Source organism: Homo sapiens, chromosome 5 (assembly GCF_000001405.40).
Source record: "Homo sapiens chromosome 5, GRCh38.p14 Primary Assembly".
Taxonomy (NCBI): Eukaryota; Metazoa; Chordata; class Mammalia; order Primates; family Hominidae; genus Homo; species Homo sapiens.
In genome coordinates this window covers 6,807,442-6,828,151 of record NC_000005.10, presented here as the reverse complement: position 1 = coordinate 6,828,151, position 20,710 = coordinate 6,807,442, and the positions used below count along the sequence as shown (strand labels likewise).

At 42.8% G+C, this 20,710-nt stretch overlaps 1 long non-coding RNA gene and 1 other non-coding gene across 2 annotated transcripts in view, besides 2 other annotated features; one reads left to right on the top strand and one right to left on the bottom strand.

Moving 5' to 3' along the window:
* Window positions 22–171: an enhancer, noted in NCBI's record as "active region_22343". NCBI's record gives its function as "activates an Ori minimal core promoter by ATAC-STARR-seq in GM12878 lymphoblastoid cells {active_cell/tissue: GM12878}" and the evidence as "EXISTENCE:reporter gene assay evidence [ECO:0000049][PMID:35858748]".
* MIR4278 (microRNA 4278) lies at window positions 231–299 on the top strand. The gene has a single exon (NR_036242.1). It is a non-coding gene; the product is annotated as a microRNA 4278 (primary transcript).
* Window positions 300–1,423: 1,124 nt separating this feature from the next.
* Window positions 1,424–20,710, bottom strand: part of LINC02236 (long intergenic non-protein coding RNA 2236) — a 30,849-nt gene continuing 11,562 nt past the window's right edge. Inside the window, exon 2 of the long non-coding RNA NR_146281.1 lies at window positions 1,424–1,509. This is a non-coding gene — a long non-coding RNA (long intergenic non-protein coding RNA 2236). The remainder of the gene's footprint in view (window positions 1,510–20,710) is intronic.
* Window positions 4,436–5,020: an enhancer, noted in NCBI's record as "H3K4me1 hESC enhancer chr5:6823245-6823829 (GRCh37/hg19 assembly coordinates)". NCBI's record gives its function as "activates a minimal SCP1, AML or CMV promoter by ChIP-STARR-seq in naive H9 embryonic stem cells {active_cell/tissue: H9 hESC(naive)}" and the evidence as "EXISTENCE:reporter gene assay evidence [ECO:0000049][PMID:30033119]".

Sequence of the window (20,710 nt, the reverse complement as noted above, 5' to 3'; positions counted from 1 at the left end):
AATGCTCTTGTTTTTATCATTGTAAACTTCTGGGGCTCTGAAAAAATGATAAGGAAACGAGTCCTATCATCACCTCCCGAGAGTCAGCATTTGTTTCAGTTTCTCCATGTGATCTGTGATGCAGAGGTCTGGCTCTCCTGTGGGTGGGGCTTAGAGAAGAACCTCTGTGATACACAGGAGTGAAACGTTACTTAGCAGATGCAGCCTCACGTTTCCGTGATACTGTAATCATCTAACACCAGGAGAATCCCATAGAACATTGACATCAACACTAGGGGGTTTGCCCTTGTGGGGAAGAATCTAAGGTAACATCATGAGGACTCTAATAAATGCAATGGTGTTTAATTATGGTTTAGGGCTCTGACATGATGCAGAGCCCATTATGGACAAGTCTCTGGCTGAAAGTCCCTGCAAGAGGGATGGATTCTCAGAAAGCAATTTGTCATCATCGTTTTGCCCTTGGAAGTGAAACCCAAGAGCAACTGGGATTCCCCCGGTGCTCTCCTGGAGCGTCTTGGCCCCATTCTGTTCTCTTCCAGCATCTTTCATCTCCCATCTTCCCTCCTTCAGGGGCTCATTTTCAGAATTTTCCATTGAAATCCCTCACGTTTGTCACTTGAAGGAGTAACCTTCATTTATATGTAACATTCAATTAAGTAAACACTCATTGCATAAAAGAGGCTTTACTGTGTGCACAGATTTGATTAGGAGCAATTACGACTTTGTGTCATTCATATGAATAAGCTAACTTAAGCCGAAATGTTAACAGGAGGGAATGACTTCCCCATCTCCCTCCTCCTCCATAAACATTTCCCATTTAGTGAGGATTCCATCATCCCAGACAGAAGCAGCCCAGACAAAACAGAGGCGACATATCTCCACACTGCAGTCTCAAGGCTGGTAGAGGAGGACAGAAACTGGAGAAAGAAGGCCAAGAGCAGCAGCTGAGCTCAGAGAAAACCCAATACCTGCAGAGAGATGCCTTTCTGTGGAGAAAAGAGAAAGTCATAACCAGAAATACACTCAGGGAACAATGCTCAATCCTTGGTTTCCAAAGGGTGAGAGCAGCTCAGGCAGGATCCGCAGGCTCCAAAGCTGGGGTTATACAGGTGGAGGGTGTGGCCTCAAGAGGCAGCCTCAGCCGGGGGCACCCTGGTAGGATGGGCATGGTGGGGAGGGCCTGGGGTCAGAGCTGGTTCAGTCTGGGTATGGATATGACCAAGTGGCCAGTGGGAAAAGCCGCCAAAAGCATTCACAGTGGGAACACATGATCCTAAGAGCATAGCAATTCCAGGCTCACCGACTAGCAGGCTTGGAGCTGCAGGTCTTCTGCCTGCCCCATCGATTATGTCCAGGGCCTCCAAAGATGGATGGGGGTGCCAGCAGCCCCGAGTTCCATTCTGGGCATCACACTTTAAATGTGGTAAAAACGAATTCACAACAAAGGCTTAGATCAAGGAGGCCGACGGAACAAGATGCTACTCCTTCCCCTCTCTCATCCCCAACTTCCTAGAAAAGACAAAGAGAAAACACCTTCAAAATCAGAGCAAGTCCATTAGAGGCCTATGATGTGAGAAAGAAATCACTTCAATGATGAGATCTGTGGGTTGTTTGTGACATCAGCCTGTGTTAGTTACCCTAATAAGAACTTAGTGACTGGAAACAAGGTATTTGATTTTTTAAAAAATAATAAAACCTAAACTACATAGTATTATTCTAGCAGCTGGGTGTCAGGAGGTAAGACAAATGATATTTAAGACTGGAAAATTGGATCAACACTTTCTTGCAGCAAAATATTTAGTGAAACTTTTGCCTTTTATTTCTTGGAGCATAGGTCACACGCCAGAGGCTTTTGTCATTCTGGAGAAGAGCAGAGGTTAGTAGCATGCGCTGTGAAAGCTCCACTTGGAAAACCATCACAAGAAAGAGATGCATTCAGAAAGGGAGGGCCAGAGTGCAGTCAGCAATGTTAAGGAAGAGAGTCCAGAAATTCTCCACTCGGCACGGTTGCAGTGGAAAGAACCGGCATGCTAAGGCATTACTGAGATGAAAGTGGCCCAGCTTACAGCAACTTGTCCATCAGCAAGAAATACAGGTGTTAAAGCACTGAAACTTTAAGACTGTTACGCCACTCACATGAATTACACTGACTCAATTTTCTATATATGTACTAGTCACAGCAAGTAGAAAGTGCAATAGGGGAAAAAAGATCCCAGTCACAGTAACGAGAGGAACAGAAAGCCTAGACATGCAGCTGACAAGAAATGTGCAAGATCTGTATCCAAACACCTGTGGAGGTTCCCAAGGTTCCCAAACTTGATCTGCATATTCGATGCAATCCTGACCAAAATTACAACAGTATGTTTTTAGAACCTGACACACTGATTCCCACATTCATCTGGCAGAGTAAATAAATGCAAAAAAAAAAAAACTAATAAATTCTGATTTAAAACACACAATTAAGGGAAATAGGCCAGATATCAAAACATATTGTCTTGTTATAGAAATTTACATAATGTGTTTATGGAGGAAAGGACAAATCAATAGAACTAAACAGAAAATCTAGACATATCACTAAGGTGGCATTTTTTAATCAGTGTGGAAAAATGCTTTCCTCCATGTATTCAATGGTTTTCAAGTAACTGGCCATCCATTAAGGAGAAATATAAAATTAGATATACCATGGCCAAAAGTAAATTCTAAATGATTTTGAAAGAATGGAAGAAAATATCAAAATAGCTTCATAATCTTATAATGGGGAAGGATTCTCTGAGCTAGAATTTTGTAAATATAGAATATTTTGTAAATATAGAATTTTGTAAATTCTAGCTCACAAAATTCAGAAGTCAAAGGAAACACTACATGAACATTTAAAACATGCCTGTGACCAAAGAACACCATAAAAAAAGGGAAAATTAGAAAAATAAGAGAAAATATTTGCAACATATACCATAGGCTAAAGATTGATATTCAGGGTATATGTTTAAGAATCGCCAACTACTCAAGAAGATGAAAACAACCCAAGAGGGAAACGAGTAACATGATGAACCAGTGAAAAAGAATGAATTCTGATAGTATGTTCTGACATGTTAAGGTTTTGAAGATTGTTAGAAAAATCATGAAGGGAACATGTAAAGTAGAATCCTGTTTACATTTTACAGTTGTGTGTGTGAGTGTGTATGGATGTGTTCATGTGTCTGTGTGTGTGAGGGCATTAGTAAGTGCGTGTGAGTGTGCGTGTAAGTACATGTGAAGGCACAGAAAAGGATCTAGAGAGATACAGGCATGATTGTTAATAGTGGCTCCTTCTAGGGAGGAAACTGTCAGGGGTCACTTAAAGGAGTAAATGGCATTTATGGTTTATTCTAAAGTCCCTATATTATTTTTAATTGCATAGAGAATTGTTGCATGCATATGTACATATTTTAATAGATTTTATTTTTTAGAACAGTTCTAGGTTCACAGCACAATTGGGCAGAAGGTACAGAGAGTTATATACTCGTACCCCACACCCATCCGGCCTCCCCCACTATCAGCACCCTGCACCAGAGCGGTTCAGTCATGACAGCTGGTGGACCTGTACTGATGCATCCTAATCACCTAGATCCATAGTTTACACCAGGATTCACGATTGGAATTGTGCATGCTGTGGTTTGGACAAGTGCAGAATGACATGGATACACATGATTACAGTATCATACATTTTCACTGTCCTGAAATTCTTCAGGGCTCTGCCCGTTCATCCCTCCCTCCCCCCAGGTCCTGGCAACCACTGATGTCTTTTTTCCATCTCCATAGTTTTGCCTTTTCCGGAATGTCATGTAGTTGGAATCATACAGTAGGTGGCGTATATGTTTATTTTAAAGTCCTTAAAAACACAGAAATATACCCGGAATTGTATAGGAGCTCAGGAACATCAACTTGCAGGGCCATCGGAAGCTGCTGAGGCTGGAGACGTTCAGGTGAGCTCCATGAAACAGAAGATCAAAGAAGAGCCGGGGCGGGATCAGAGCAAGAAAAAGAGCTCTGTTTATGCCGAGAAGTCGCAGCACAGAGTGATACCACCCAGGAGGTAAGCCCACAGTGCACAGAATAAAACGGAGAATCAACACTGGGGAGTTAACAGAATTAGCACTTCCTCAGACAAGCTGCATAAAATCACCCAGAATGCAGGAAACATTTCCTATCAGAAGAAAAAGATTTAGATGTATAAGATAAACAAAAAATAGACATAGGATGTCCAATAAATGGAAACTCTAGAATGCCTGAAAACAAAACCAGAATCAATGCAGATCAAATGTGCTTGACTGACACCTCTCAAGGTATATAGAGGCTAATTCTTTAACTTTGATCATAAAACTCATTGCTTTTTTTTTTTTCATGTACTAGAAAGGGAGGCTTCTAAACTAATCATATATTGCACTGGTGTTAATCTTCAGATTGTAACCCAAAGTGTAAAAATGTATTCATTTTAAAAGAACCTAAGGATTTTGGGGGACATTTTGATTAGGTAAGACAAAATGTTGTCTAGTTATTCACAACAAGGTACAGAAACAGTTCTCTACGACTCAGGAAGCACTGATCCCCGGGGGGATAAGGATGCTGTCAGGACTGCATTCCTCAGAGGAATGGGAACAGCCACGAGGCTTAGGTGTCAGAATCACCTACTTCTGGAAGACAGAGGAATATTCGTGGACAAAATGGAATAGAAGAAAATGAAAGAGTCAGCGGAGGAAGGAGACAACTGTGTCCTTGAGGATCTGGCCAGGGAAACAACTGGGCCACTTGAACAACAGAGAGAACTCCGTGCAGGGGATTGGTCACCCGTGACGGAGGGGGCCGAGCAGCAAACAGGGAGGGTGAGCAACAGCAGAAAGCGACAGCCACCCCTGGCTGGAGAGGCAAATGGAAGAGGTGCACGGGTCAGCCCTGTGGGAGGGGAAGCCGGAACAACAGCAGGTCTCCCCAGGGGACACAGTGGTGCTGCCGCCGTGTGGGCGGAAAACATCGGCAGAGCAGAGTCGGGGGAAAGGTTCCCAGGTCCCCCACTCTGGACCCTCGGTGGTCTAAGGCACCCAGAGGCGGCTGACTGGGAGCCTTGGACTCGGAGCAGCGCGTAGAGGGTGAGGGGCCTGCACAGGAGGAGCGGCCGGGCGGTGGAGTGTGTCCTGCCTCGGGTCCTCCCTCACCGGGGCCTCGTCAGGGATCCTCACAGAGGTTTGGTTTGGTTTGCTGGGATTTCTAGGGAAGGCAGCCGGGGTTTCATACCAGCCTGGTGGGACAGGGCGCTGTGGGGGAAGAAGAAACTGCTTTGCAAACCCACTTTCAGCAGTGACTGAGAAAGTCAGAAGAAAGCAAGCTGGAGAATTGGCAGAGGTGATAGGAGCTGCCCACGCAGGCAGCCAGCTGAGCCAGCCACACTGAGGGAAACCTCGAGGGCAATGACTCTGGCCAAGGGACACCTGGGTGACAGATGGAAGCCCGATTAGCTGTGGTCCAAAAAAGGGGTCCTCCAAAAAGCATAATGGAGGCCATTATTGTGCAGTTATGAATGAGAAAGTGGCTGAGTTTCCTTCAGTGTGTTGACCTCCTACATGGTAAGCACTAACAGCATAGTATGTCCTCAACACCAGACTAGGGGAATGAGTCTGTCACCAGGGTGCACTGTCCATCTTCGATTAGTTTTCCAGCTCTTACAATTCACAGGTCCTTTTAAATATTAGAATGTATTTGGTGCCACAACTGAAAGCATCGAGCTGCATTTGTAATCACCACACTATCCACCTGATCCTCCCTTGCTCTGCTGCTAGCCAAGGCAACTGTGAGAGGCTGGACTGTGCACCTCCACGCTGTGAAGCAGCAACTCTCCTGTTTCAGAAACCATGGGTTCCATCGCCCAGCTCCTGGCTCTGCTCCCACTTAACAGACGTGGGTTGGAGCATCACTGTGGCCATCGCATCCTCGCGTGCAACAGACAGGATGCACGATTTCCCTCCAGAGCCTGTGTCAGTCTGCTTGCCTGTGGCACCTTCACACCAAGCAGGGAAGTCTGCATTTTATGTCTTGAAGCAAATGCAGCTGTGCTTATAGTGGTCACCATCCCCGTGTTGACGACAGGGTTGCAAGGCAGAAGTGGGGCACAGCGGAAAGTCCTGGCCCATTTTCCATCTCCAAGCCCCCTCCCCTTGATCTTACTGGAATCTTCCCAATGCATTCTACATCATGTTTTCCTCAGGCTGAGATCTCCCCTGTGCAAGAAACAGTCTGAATCCTAACGAGATGTCTAAAAAGAGGCAAACAAGCAGCTCTAAATAATTCTGCCGTGCTTTGAGGGACAAAGTGAATAAATGCTAAAACATCATCTCTTTAGTTCTCAGGTTCTTAAAAACTTTCTAAAAAGCTGCTATTACCCCAGAAACACACTTTGAATGTTTCCCACTGTTTGGAAAAAGCAAAATACTTTTAAAATAAATAATGTGTGTATGCATATTCTATTTAACTCCATGATTTTTACAGAAAATTTTGAAAAACAAAAAATTAACGAGGAAGTACTTTAGCACCTACTATGGTTTCATGATGAGCAAGAAAATCGCCCAAAAGACTATTAACAAAATGTGCCTCTGGGAAGTCACCCAAGGAATAGTTCTGGTTATATATGACTGTGTATAGTCTATAGAGTTCAGGAAACTTAATATTGAGTTAAATCAGATTAAACTATCCTGGTACACTTTTCTTTATTAAGTCTACTTCTAAAATGTTGCCATAAATAAATTATTCTAAATTGATGAAATGAAGTAGAATGGTTAACATTTAAAGAAATCCTAACGGGAATTATTTTTTAAATCACACAGTCACCTCCTGTTTTGTTTAACATGTACTTCTGCAAACATTTGGATTTTATTAAGAAATAACTAAATTTAGGAGAGAATTTTAACTGCATTCTCTAACATCGATTTTTAAAACTGCTGCATATGAACATTATTTCCAGAATGCAAAAACAAATGAAGTTTCTTATAGTCTTTACACGCGAACAGGCGCCCCTACAGTCTTCCTCGTTTATCACCCACCGCTCAACCACCAAGCTGTCGTGGGATGGTGGCGACCTCTAGAGGCCACACTTAGGAACTGTCTGATTTAAAGTTCAACCTCTCTAGGCTCTTGGAAGAATCAGCAACAGAGCTTTTCCTCTAGGCTCTTAGAATCGTGAATACACAGAGCTTTTCCTTTCTCTTTCATGCATCGCTGCTCACAGCCCAGGTACTTCCACCTAACGCAATCATTTTCTCACACTTTCATGGCAAATGCCTCCCTTTTCCTTTTTGCCATTCTTTCCAAAAAATAAAAATTTTTCTATTTATGAGTAAAAATGTTTAAATGACTCCAATTATGCTCAGAGCCTGTATGAAGGTAACGAAAAGGAAGACATTTGATGTGAAGTCAAACAATGTCACTGACTGCTAGCCCTTCATTCTCTCAAAAAGCCCCTTCACAGAAACTCCACAAATTCTATTTCCTAAGCATCAAGATTCCAACTTTTTAAATGCTATTAAATTGTTAATTATCTCTGTTAGTAATGCATTAGTTTATTTCTTAGTTATTGCAGATGCAGTAGTTTCTAGCATTTAAATATTTTTGTATTAATCAGAATGTGTTATGCTGCAGTAACAAACCAACCCTCAGATCTCAGTGGCTTTGCATAAAGCTCCATTTGACCCCCCACCCACTCACCCCACAAGTCTTCTGTGGTTTCAGCCACTATCTAAGGACTCTCAGCTTCAAGCAGCGACTTGGAGGCCCAGGTGAATTGCTCCTTATGGCTGCACCATTTGGATTGCATGGTTTCCAGGGCACTGCATCAGTGAAGGGAGAACTGAAGGGCCATGCCTCTTCTCTTAAATGCTTTAGAAGCCCAACGGTCATGCTGAGGACCACTCTCCAGAGCTTGCTACATGGCCCTGCCTAACCCCAAGGCTCTGGGAAATGTGGGTGTCACATGGATTTTCACTGAGCAATAAATGTTTCTGTCACACAGTATATTTGAAAAATATTTTAAGTTTGACATTCTTAAGGGAGGAATAGGTCTAACCCAAAATTTCAAGCTCGCTTATACCACTCTCCATCAGAAAATGCAATCTTCGTCAACTGTAAGCTGTCATAGTACCTGAATAAATGCAAAAAGGAAGGGGAAAAAAGCAGCTCCCTTCCAAATTAAATCATAGAAGAAAAGGATTAGTCAGGTACACTTCTGAGAGGAAGACATCAGCTAAGTCATTTGGAGCAAGGTGTGACTGGAAAGAAGCATAACCGACAGTGATAAGCTGCCAGGCAAGAGCTGCGACAATTCTTCACAGACCGCAAGCCACGCAGCACACTTCGGAATACAGAGGAGAGAAGTTAAACAAAGCTCAGAGCCCACTGCTCAACCCCGTTAGCCTCAGTGGAGAAACAGCACCTCCCAGTGATCCTTCCTCATATCACCTTTTTTTCCCCATTCTTTTGTTTGTTTGTTTTGTCTTTGGGTTTTTTGTTGGTTTGTTTTGTTTTATTTCTCATATAATCCTGCAGTTCCCACACAGGAATTTCAGTTCTGGGCTTTATTGCAATGCTTGAGCCCTAATACATTTCTGGGCTTTCAATTGCTTCCAGAAAAACTGATGAGCCACGCCCTTATGGGACCACCCATCACAGATGATTCTTCAAGTAACTTTGGAACAAATCAGTGCCCCTAAATAGAGACGCAGCAAAACAGCAAAATAGCCCATGCTGTTGAGATTATTCCACAAGGGGGCCGGCAACATCAGGCAGAAGAGGGAGGGAGGTGATGAGAGAATAAAGAAAACAAGATTTGTGAGGTTGACTCAGAGGAAAATTAGCTCTGTCCAGAGCCGCCTGCCATTAAACAGCGATCAAATACAAGTGGAGCGGGGTGAGATGCGAAGTTTTACCTTCTGGTTGTTTACATGAGGCCTGAAATGAGTTCTACTTTCCTTTCCCCTTTCTGCCCCATAGACACACATGTATGCACACAATCACATGTGCACACACAGAGTCAAGGACAAACATATGAGAAACCACTGGGTTCAGTAAGGAGGTCGCCAGGTGAGGAAGGAAGAAATCAAAGCAGACCCTGACGCTCACAGGGGGGTCAGGTTATTTTTCTCTTGGACATAAACATTCTCACAGAACAGCTCCCCCGGTGAGCTTACTCAGAGCAGGAGTAAGTGAGACAAACCAAGGAGCTTTATAATTTTGTCTAAGCACAGACAAAAACAAGGTCGCTGTACCACCTCCTGATTAGAGTGAGTGACAGCTGCTTCTTATCCCCTGCAGGCTTATCTTCACCGCAGCTTGCCCTCCCTACAGATGAGACTAAGACACATGGGGGAGACGCAATCATAGGATCTTCCCTGCTTTCTGACAGCAACCAATCCACAGCAAACACCTGCTGCCTTACACCCTCTCCCAATCACCCAACCAAAGCCCAAATCCTATACCTCCTTCTCCTACTGAGACGCCTTATTGTTCTTCACCATGTGTGTTCTTTCTTGTCAAAATGAGTAATAAACCCAGCTTGTTAACCTTTAGATATCCTCTTGGTGGCCTTCAGCTTGTGGCACTGACACAAGCATGAGACCCTCCTAGTTAGAGAAAATTGACAAGAATTTGCAAGGTGCTTTCCCTTCACTGTCCACACTTCCCAACCCCACCAGAAGATTATACATAAAAACAGGCTGGAAGGGGGAAGAAGAGACTTGGGGGGAATAAAATAAGCAAGACAGTTTGTTCCTTTTTGCCATTGCCTCTAAACATCTCATTACTTTGCATGATGTACAAACACACAAATAATGCACACACATACACACAAATAGCTCAGGAGGATAGACATGGATTTGGAAATAAAGAACTGATTCTCAGAAGACAGTGTGGCAATTCCTCAAGGATCTAGAACTAGAAATACCATTTGACCCAGCCATCCCATTACTGGGTATATACCCAAAGGATGATAAATCATGCTGCTATAAAGACACATGCGCACGTATGTTTATTGCGGCACTATTCACAATTGCAAAGACTTGGAACCAACCCAAATGTCCATCAATGACAGACTGGATTAAGAAAATGTGGCACATAGACACACCATGGAATACTATGCAGCCATAAAAAAGGATGAGTTCATGTCCTTTGTAGGGACATAGATGAAGCTGGAAACCATCATTCTGAGCAAACTATCACAAGGACAGAAAACCAAACACCGCATGCTCTCTCTCATAGGTAGGAACTGAACAATGAGAACACCTGGACACAGGAAGGGGAACATCACACATTGAGGCCTGTCCTGGGGTGGAGGGAGGGAGGAGGGATAGCATTAGGAGATACACCTAATGTAAATGATGAGTTAATGGATGCAGCACACCAACATGGCACATGTATACATATGTAACAAACCTGCACGTTACATGCACCTTAGAACTTAAAGTATAATAAAAAAAAATTTAATAATAAAATTTAAAAAAATTAAGAAAAAGAACTGATTCTCACCTATGTCTGGAGGTCCGTGAGTGGTAGACCCTACAAACATACTCAGCAATGCCCAGGCGAGCTGAGGACAGCACGGAGGTGAGAAGAGGCGTAACTGGATGGGAGGGCACAGACACCAGTGAAGCCAAATCTGGCACAGCAAGAAACCTGTCCCGATGTGTCATCAGAGGGCACCACAGAGAGCTAGAAAACGAGCTAGGATCCCAGCCACCCAGAGGCAGCAAAGCGAGTTGAGACTCCCCATTCTCAGAAGGAGCTTTCAGCTCAAGAAGCTACTGCATCCACTGGGGATCATCCATGCAAGGGGGCTGTGAGAAGCCACCTGGACCCCTAAAAAACAGGACTATTCCCTGGTATTGCTGGAGCCAAGAAAGGTGCGAGGTTGTTTAAGACTGAAAAAGAGCCCCGCAGAGATGTGTGCTCTGTCACCCTTGGAGCTCAGGCCATCTTGTGAGCTGACACCCTCTCTCAGCTTGGCCCCGTGGCAACAGACATGGTCAAACTTTGTAGATGTACAAGAGGGAGAAGGGGAGAGAAAACCCTTTAGGGGAGAAAACTTTGAAAAGCATCTCAATTTAACCCAATGGAAGCCAGAAGAGGCCAAGCAATGGACTAGACATGGCTGGAATACCTGGAGCTCAATAGCAGCAACAAGGAAAAATTTAAGAAAGAAATTAAAATGGTTCAGTAAACCTATTTGCTTAACATAAAAGAAGGCAGTAAAGGACCAAAAACAAGACGTACAGAAAAAAAAAAAATAGCAAAATGGTAGACAAAAGTGCAACTACGTCAATGGGTTAAATGCACCAAATAAAATACAGAGATTGTCAGAAAGACAAGTAAGACCTAATTGAAATACTGTCTATGAGAGATTCAAGTTACATTTAAAGGTGCAAATAGGTTGAAAGTAAAAGGATTTAAAAAAAAAACATGTATATTGTGAGAACAGTGGCCATAAGAAAGCTGGAGAGGCTATAGTAATATCAAGCAAAATAGATTTTAAGACAAGATATATTAGTATATTATCCTATAGGCCAAAGAAAAAAATTACAGGGGAAACTGGAAATAACTTGAACTGTCTCAGATATTTGGGGTTCACCATACCCACTAGAAAGACTATACTCAAAAAGACTAAAAAGGCCGGGCGCGGTGGCTCATGCCTGTAATCCCAGCACTTTGGGAGGCCGAGGCAGGTGGATGACTTGAGGTCAGGGGTTCAAGACCAGCCTGGCCAACATGGTAAAACCCCATCTCTACTATAAATGCAAAAATCAGTAGTACATGGTGGCATGTGCCTGTAGTCCCAGCTACTCAGGGGACTGAAGCAGGAGAATCACTTGAACTTGGGAGGCAGAGATTGCTGTGAACCAAGATAGCACCACTGCACTCCAGCCTACACTCCGGGCTAGATGACAGAAAGAGACTCCATCTCAAAAAAAAAAAAAAAAAAAAGAATACCAAGTTCAGGATAAGGAGAACTTAGATCCCTTTTTCTCATGCCTGAGGGGATGTAAAATGGGGCAGACACTTTGAAAAACAATTTGGCAGTTTCTTAAAAGGTTAAACATATACTTACCACACAACCCAGCCATTCCACTCCTAGCTACCCTAGAGAAAGAAAACATATGTCTACAAAAAGACTTTTATAAAAATGTTCATAACAACAACATCCATGACAGCCCCAAGCGGGAAAGCATCCAAATCTCTATCAACAGGAAAATTAGCAAAATGTAGTATATTTGTGCCATGGAGTACTACGCAGCATAAAAGAGGCAAACTGCAAATACAGGCAGCAACACATTTGAACCTCACTGCATTATGCTAAGTGGAAGAAGCCAGCCACCAAATAGTAAAATTGCATGACCCTATTTATATCAAAATTTCTAGAAAAGATTAAAACTTATAGACAGAAAGATGAGTCGTTGTCTGTAGCTACAGTGGCCCGCGGGAGCAGGACTGGCTGCAAATGAGTGAGAAGGAACTTTTTGGCATGATGAAAATGTTCTGAAACTTGATGGTGGTGATGGTTGAACAAGTTTCTATTACTAAATATCACTGTACATTTAAAGTGAATGAATTGTATGGTATGAACATTATAACTCAATAAACCCATAAAAAAGAAGAAGAAAAAACCCTGCAAGCAACGGTAATGTAGTCAATGGGGCATCATAAAAGGTGTTATAGACTCATTAGGGGATTCTTTCCTAAACAAAGTAATGCATTTTACTACCACATTCCGGTGTCAAAGAAAGGCAGAAGTGTCTGTATCTGTGTAAATTCACTTCCCACAATGTCCCTGCATCCCAGATCAGCCCCCTTAGAGGAGGCTCCATTTGTAGTATACTTAGCAGACAGCTTGTGTCTACACCTGCAGATCCACCACCTAATGAGACGGGAAGGTGCTTGGACAGATCCTGTGCCTGACCCTCTATCTAAGGCTATGTCAGTCTTATTTGCAAAACTCTTCTCATGAGGCATTAAAGTATGTTTTCTTTGCATTGCCATTTGGGCTGAAGACCAGCTGTGAAACACAAGATTAGACCTATGTCTGGGTTCCCGGTATCGCCAGGCATGGCATGCCAGTGCTGGCGCAGGAAACAGAGAAGCTTCCCCTGGCGCTCAGCCAAGGCTCCCAGGTACACCTAATGACACTTGCTGATCACAACCACTTTTCTCGAAGAGATTTCAAGGTTTTACACATTAATGTGGCAGCCTTCATATGGAAATTGGGCTTTCCAGATACTGGAAGCTAGAAACAGGGGTGGGCAGGTGAGTTTTCACAGTAGACTCCCCTGGGGATAAGAGGGATCTATTTTGCTGCTTTTGCCGATTGCCATGGTGTGAAGGCTCTCCCCATGGCCGATTTTAAGTGACTGACTTAATGTTCGCGAGCGTGAAGTTAGGAACAGAGGTCACAGCTGGCTCCAGCACACCTGTGCCTGGGGACAGAGGAGGAGCAGGAGGACATGAGGCACATACGTGACAATGACATACATGACATTAGGCACATACAATGTTTAATCAAGACTGAAAATGTCAGAGTAGAACCATGTCACTTTATTACTTGAACAGGTGAGATAAATTTAAAAGCATTTCAAATTTAACAAGCTGTTAATTACTATTCATATTGTTTTTCTGAATTTGGTTGTACCATTGGCAAATTTTCAGTAGGACCATTTGCATAGATATGTATTATATATACACACATACATATACACACACAGCATATATATATAGACATACCACCCCACATATATACATATACATATGTTAGAGTCTATCCATACACTTACACACATGCTAGAGTCTATAATCTTCTAGTTAGTTACAAGAAAATGGCTCATCGTGATCCTTAAATAACAGAAAATAGATTCCTCTCCAATAATATGAATCCTCCTATGATTTCCCTGAAATTACTGGAAAATGCTAATTAACCATACCTTGATCTCACAGCTTCGAACCTAATTGAGAAATTCACCCAAGACTCAGAAGGGGCTGAAAATTGCAGCATTGTCATCAGTAAAGCCGAATGAGAGACCGAGGCTAAGCATTGAAGCCCAAATAGACCTCTGAGTCCTGCTTCCATCACTGCGTCCACCTGCAGAGCAGCTGGGCAGACACCAGCCAACCACTTTGCTCAGACAAACATGAAAATCTGATTTTATTTCATGGCCTAAACCTCAGAGAAGGTGAAAACCCTCCAATATCTGGATGCTAGTCTAAGGACTAACACAGGCCCCAACCCACCATGATTGCAACAGATCAGGCCAGAGCACAGGTTCTGAGGACCTGCAGCCAATTTCTGCCGACGTATGTTTAGCATACCAGCAGTAGCTCCCAATTGTGAGGCATACACCACACCAGGCTTTTCCAAAGCTTTATTATTAACCTTGACAAAACCTGCTGGACATGTGAATTCCATTTTAGAGATATGAGTGTTCAGAGAGGTTAAGTAGCACGCCTGAGGTCGCCCAGCTGCTAATGGGAAAATCAGGATTCTTGCTCATAACTGTCTCACTCCATGGATAATTTGTGTGCAGGCAAAGTCCTCATGCTTGGCCAGGAGCCAGGCAGGTAGCTGCCAAGATTCCAGGTATATAATCATCAGGCACAAAACCTGGCCAAAAGAGATCAAACAGAAGTCCCCTGGAAATAACCATAATCTGTGGAGCACATTTCCTGTTTGGGGCACATCTCAATGCCTTGCACACCTCATTTCAAGCAGGCCCTCCCACGCCTTATAAAATACTTATCAACTTCACTTACAGCCAAAAACCCGGGACCTTAACCAAACAGCAGCCTTATCTGACATTGAGCTATTCTGCTTCCTTGCCTTTTGCAGACTGAAGCCTGAATAGGCTCAACACTGATTGCAAAAGTCTTGTGGCCTAGAGCCAAAGCTTCTTGCAGTTTCAAGGCTCTTTGGCTTGATCTCATTGCTAGACAGAAATTCTGGTGTGAATGGGCTTCCCTCACTCACAATGCACCAGCTGGCCTTGCTGCCAGAAAGTCACCATTTTTCCAAGGGTGGTGCTAGGATCCAGGTCCTCAGGAGGAACCATCTAAAGATGGCAGGAGAAGACCACGTCTCATCTTGAACAGAAACACCTGAGTCCAGGGCTTGGCTGAAGCCAAGAGCAGGAGTAAACAGGCTGGGATTAACATGAGTTCTCGCTGATACCCTGAGCCAGTGATTCCTGCCCCACGACACCTGTGGATGCTTATATAGTAAGAAGGAAAACAAACACTGTCCCTCTCTCATTAACACCGAAACATTTACCTCCCTCTAGCAACAATTTTTTTTTTTGAGGTAGAGTCTCACTCTGTCACCCAGGCTGGAGTGCAGTGGCGCAATCTCAGCTCACTGCAACCTCCGCTTCGTGGGGTTCAAGCTATTCTCGTGCCTCAGCCTCCCGAGTAGCTGGGATTACAGGTGTGCATCACCATGCCTGGCTGATTTTTCTCTTTTTAGTAGAGACAGGGTTTCTCCATGTTGGCCAGGCTGGTCTCAAACTCCTGACCTCAGGTGATCCTCCCACCTCAGCCTCCCAAAGTGCTGGGATTACAGGCGTGAGCCACCATGCCCAACCCCTCTATTAACAACTTTTAAAAGTGGCATTCTGAACAGAATGAAAGGGTCATCATTTATCTCCGGCTGTAGTTACTATTGGGCTACCTTTATCTAGGGATCCAGTTACTGACCCAGGTCCTCATCTAACTGAGGCTTCTCATCTCCAAGACACGGAGAACATCAGCAAGGCTGGACGTGGAGCCCCCTCCTCCACCAGAGGTGCTGTTTCACAAGATGGTACCTCCACTTCCCCAGGTCCAGGCTCCTCTTGGCAGGCCCCAGCTTGGAGTCCTGGATCTGTGCACATGGTGGTAGGTGCAGACATCAGACCGGCACAAATCATGAATGTACTTTCTGTTCAGCTTTGAGGATTGGTCAGTGACTAGCAATGAGAGACAGAGAGAGTCTTTGCAGAAATGACAAACAAAAGGTTTGACAGCTGACACAGAACGTGGAAACTTGAGAACCCTGTTGTTCCAGCTAAGACATGGGAGCAAAAAATAAAAACCTAGCCCTATCCTATAAAAACACTTTTCAAATGCAAAAGATATCTGTAAGTTGGATTTTGAGTTTGAGTTTGAGATTTTCATAAAGCATAGTAAGAAAAACTCCCATCTTAAAATTACCATTGTCAGAGAGAGTTCACAAGGGGCGAGGTGAGCAGTAGCAATTAATAATTTAGCATTCATGTAATATCTGGCATTTGCAAACTGCTTTCCCATCATCTTTTCTTATTGCTGCTCACAAGCACTGCAGGTAGGGAGTCAGCAATAATTATGTCCTAAGCTCAGAGAGGTGCTGGGTCAGTAACTGGATCCCTAGAGAAAGATAACCTAATGGTAACTAGAGCCTGAGATTAATGACGACCCTTTCATTCTGTTCAGAATGCCACTTTTAAAAGTTGTTAATAGAGGGAGGTAAATGTGTCAGCTGCATTAATAAGAGAGGTGTGGTGTTTGTTTTCCTTCTTAGTATATAAGAGCCAGATAATCAAAATACACATACAAAAATACCACTGACAGTAAGGGTCCAAAAGAGGTAATGCTTTCACTAGTACTTTGAGACATGACTTTTGTTATTTAAAAGCAGAGACATTTGAAATTTGTGGGTATTTTCCATTTCGGAGAGACGGACTTTGAGACCACAAACCATAGTCAATACTAACTATGCTTTAACTCTTCTAAGATACAGAGCAAGCACATCATCAGCCAACTAGGGAGTGGTCCAGTCTTTTCCACTCTTGTGAATATGAGTGGCTAGCCAGTGGGAAGGGACCCTCATCTTTGCTGTATGAGTTGAGCCCCCGCCTTCTGCTGGGCACCATACACAGACATCAACAGCAAGCCCGGTCTGGCCCTGCCTTTGCTGGAGAGGAGGGGCATCCTCATCTGCCTATGCCAAGGCCTGTGGGAAGGGACGTGATCCTGGGCAACAGAGAAGCATAGTGTGACAGGTCCAGAAAAGGGTTCTGAGAATGTGACATTGAGCTGACGTCTCAGGGTGAGTAGGTATTAACTGGAAAAGAAGGGAAGAGGGAACAGCATGTGCAAAGACCCAGAGGTGGAGGCTGCACAGGTCATTGGAGGGATGAAAATGAGGCCAAGAATCCAGAGCTCAGAGTGAAGGTGCAGGAACAGATGGAAACAGAGAGCCAGGGCTGGGAAACAATGGCCACACACAGAGGGCAGCACGCAGCAGCTTGGGCTCCAAGACTGAGCCTGACCTGCCACTTAGCAGCAGCCACCACTGACGAGTTCCTTACTACCTCCATGTCCAGCTTCTTCACCCGTAACTGGAGGCCACAACAGAATCTACCTTACAACATTCTGCAGAACAGTCAATGCTCCATAGAGTGCACATAAAACATTCTAAAACGGGGTCTGTTTTGCAGCAGAGATGTAAGAATTTTCTTTTAACCTGCACTGTTCCCATCCTGACATTTTCTTACCTTTAGGCAAGAGTTTCCTACCCTGTGTTCTATGGGACATTGTTCTGTAACATATTCTGAGAAAGGGTGCCCTAATTGAGTTTGAGAAACATTGCATATGGCACATTTAAGAATCTGAGAGTCCCACAGTTTAAAACAAAACAAAACTTTTTGTAACCAAGTGTGTGCCCTAACAAATCAACTATCCCATGCCGCTTCCTTTGTGCTGGACGCGAAGTTGTCAACTGTTCATAATCTGTGTCTGACTCCACGAAATTTCCATGCAGAGAATGTTGAGAGGCATCAGCCAACAATCATTCCAGACTCTGGCGCGTGCATTTGCAGGCCTGCAGCAGAGCAGTTTCATTGTTGTTATTTAGGAAATAAATTAGCTCCAAGTACCCATTTATGATACAAATGCTCAGGCAGTCCTCATTTCTCAGAGCTTTTTCCTGACCCATAGCTATAATTTTCCATTTATTCAGTGGATGACATCCAGGGAACAAATATGTGTTACTTGAACGATAAGCCCTTGTTAGCGTTATTTCATCTCTCAGTTTCAGGCTCCTCATCTGTAAATCACGGTATCAGACTAGGTGGCCTAAAAGCCCTTCCAAAACTAGGATTATATGATTCTATGTTAAAATCTTTCCAGGTTGTGCATTTTCTGTTCTTAGGTGGCCACTGAGATGGACCCAGTCTCGATATGAGCAGATGGACACACATCCATCACAAATGAAGGACAGATTTCTAGGCCTCCGTGTGCTTCCATTATTTCATCCCTTTTAGCAGTGCTAAAGAATATTCACCAAATGCATGATCATGATTACTTTTGTAATTTTCTATGTGTCTATTTTTTAAAAAGCATTAAGTACAGAAAAATATATTTAAAAAAATAACATAAAGGAAAAGTGCCCAAATGTTAACATTTGTTAAATCATGAATATGTATGTTTCTGGGATTCTTCTTTGTGTTTTTAAATCTTTCAAAATTTAAAAACGATAATCTTCAGTAAGTGATAAATTCTCTTAATGGCGATCTCTTCACAAGTCTCTGAAGTCGTCTTTTATACACGCTTCATCATTTCCTTGAGTTAACTGTCTCAAGGCTTAAATTTAGAAATAGAAATACATCCCTGCTTCTTGCCCTGCAAAGTTCATGTTTGGCGATTCTCTCATAGACACAGCATTATTTGCATGAGACCAAAATTAAGCTCTCACTAATGGCAGCCGGGAGCTAAAACCACATCCAAACTGTCTAATTGCATTTCAAAATGACTTCTAGGTCCTTATTGTCAGAGTCCTAGGGGGAGTCATTTTCCCATTAATTTTATCTGAAAGGAAAACGTTTCATACTATCTCATCTAAATCACCTTGGGAAGGACCACAGCCAATATGCCATTTTAGTTTTGTTGAAAATAAACATTTTTGTTGAAAACATTTTTTCATTTTGTTGAAATGAAATATTTTTTCATTTTGTTGAACAATTTTGTTGAAAAGAAACGACACATGGTAAAACATCTCCAACTCCATCCAAGTTATTATAAATTTTGAATTAAGCCTAGATTTAGACTGATGTTCAATATGTTTACCTGTTTGAGAATAAAGGCTTTGTAGTACTTATTTATAGGCAAACAAGTGAATCTCTCATTAGATAATTTTTAAATATATTATTTGTATAGAATAGAGGATTCTGATTCCAACAAATGCTGAACGAGCATGATGCCCAGCTTCCTTGGCCAAAATTAAGCTGGTGAACTCTGGAGGTAAAGCCCCCTGAAATGGAGGTAGGGGGCAATGCTATTTTAAACTCATGGAGAGGTGGATTCGGCCTGGGGCAAGAGCAGCCGGAGCTCAACTTGCAATTTTCAGTCATTTTCTTCACTCAGATCATGTCTGCACCCAAAACCGTGGCAACTGTGGCCCCTGGTCCAGACGGCCACAGAAGGCACATCAGAGAGGTCCAGATTTTGTGTGCTTATGAGGAGCTGAAAAGAGTTAAGTGGAGAGTGATCACTTCAGGCGGTAGCTCGTGCATCTTCCCCGGGGCTGGTGAATTCCAATCTAACTGTGTTTCTCCCTAATGCTGCTGTTCCCAGCAGGGTAGTGGGTGAAGCTCCAAGCTGAGGAGTGGTTTTGTAGGGTGGGGACTAACCATGACTGTGTTTTCTGGTGCCAAGTCTCTGCTACAAAGTTCATCCACCCCATCCTTTGAGCTCACTGGGGCTGAGGTGGTGGAGTCAGGCCTTCCTCAATGTGCATGGCTGACAGAGTAGCCAATATCCCAGAAGGGAAGGCACTCTCAGGACAAAAAATAAAATAAAAAAAAGAAAGAAAAAAGAAAGATTGTTGATGGGCATAACACTTTAAAAAGAAAAACCTACTAGATTACAGCCTCCATCAGAAGCAGAAATATTCAACCAAGAATTCATAATTAGACTAATAAACATTTGAAAACAGATAAGGGGATATATTAGCAATATGAATCAAAAAGAAAGCCATAGAAAGCAGTCAAACATTTGGTATAAAAAAGGTTATAGTTGACTAAAAAATGAAATGAATAGGATAAATATCAAATGGAAGCAGCTGAGGAGCAAAATAGCAAACTGGAAGACCAGAGCATTGGAAAAATGTCAATCCCAGGAAGAAGAAAAAAATTAAAACTTTTGTAATTGGTAAATACAAAAAAAATGAAAACAACATGGAGGAATGAAATACACGCACTAAATCCAAATAAAAGGAGTTGCAGGAGGAAAAGAGGAAAATTAAAAGGGACTCATAACTATTTGAAGACATAAGATATAAATGTTCTAGAATTTTATATTTAAAAATCTCATACAGTACCAGAGAGGAGTGATAAGTTAAACACATTTTAATAAAATTTTAAAATCGAAAATACAAAAGGAAAAATTTTAGAGGCCAGAAGTGAAGAACATTATATACAATAGGTCAAGTTTGGGTAAAACCAGACTTTTCAATAGGAAGAATGGATGCAAAAATAAAAACTGGATTGGTGTTTGCAAAATATTAAATAGCCTAGATTGTTAGATCTGGCCAAAACATCATTAAATAAGATGATCACCAGACTTATAAGACCTTACAAATATTGTCACCCAGAGGCCCACATTGACAAAAGTTTGTAGATGAAGTGCTTAAATTGAAGAAGCAAATCTG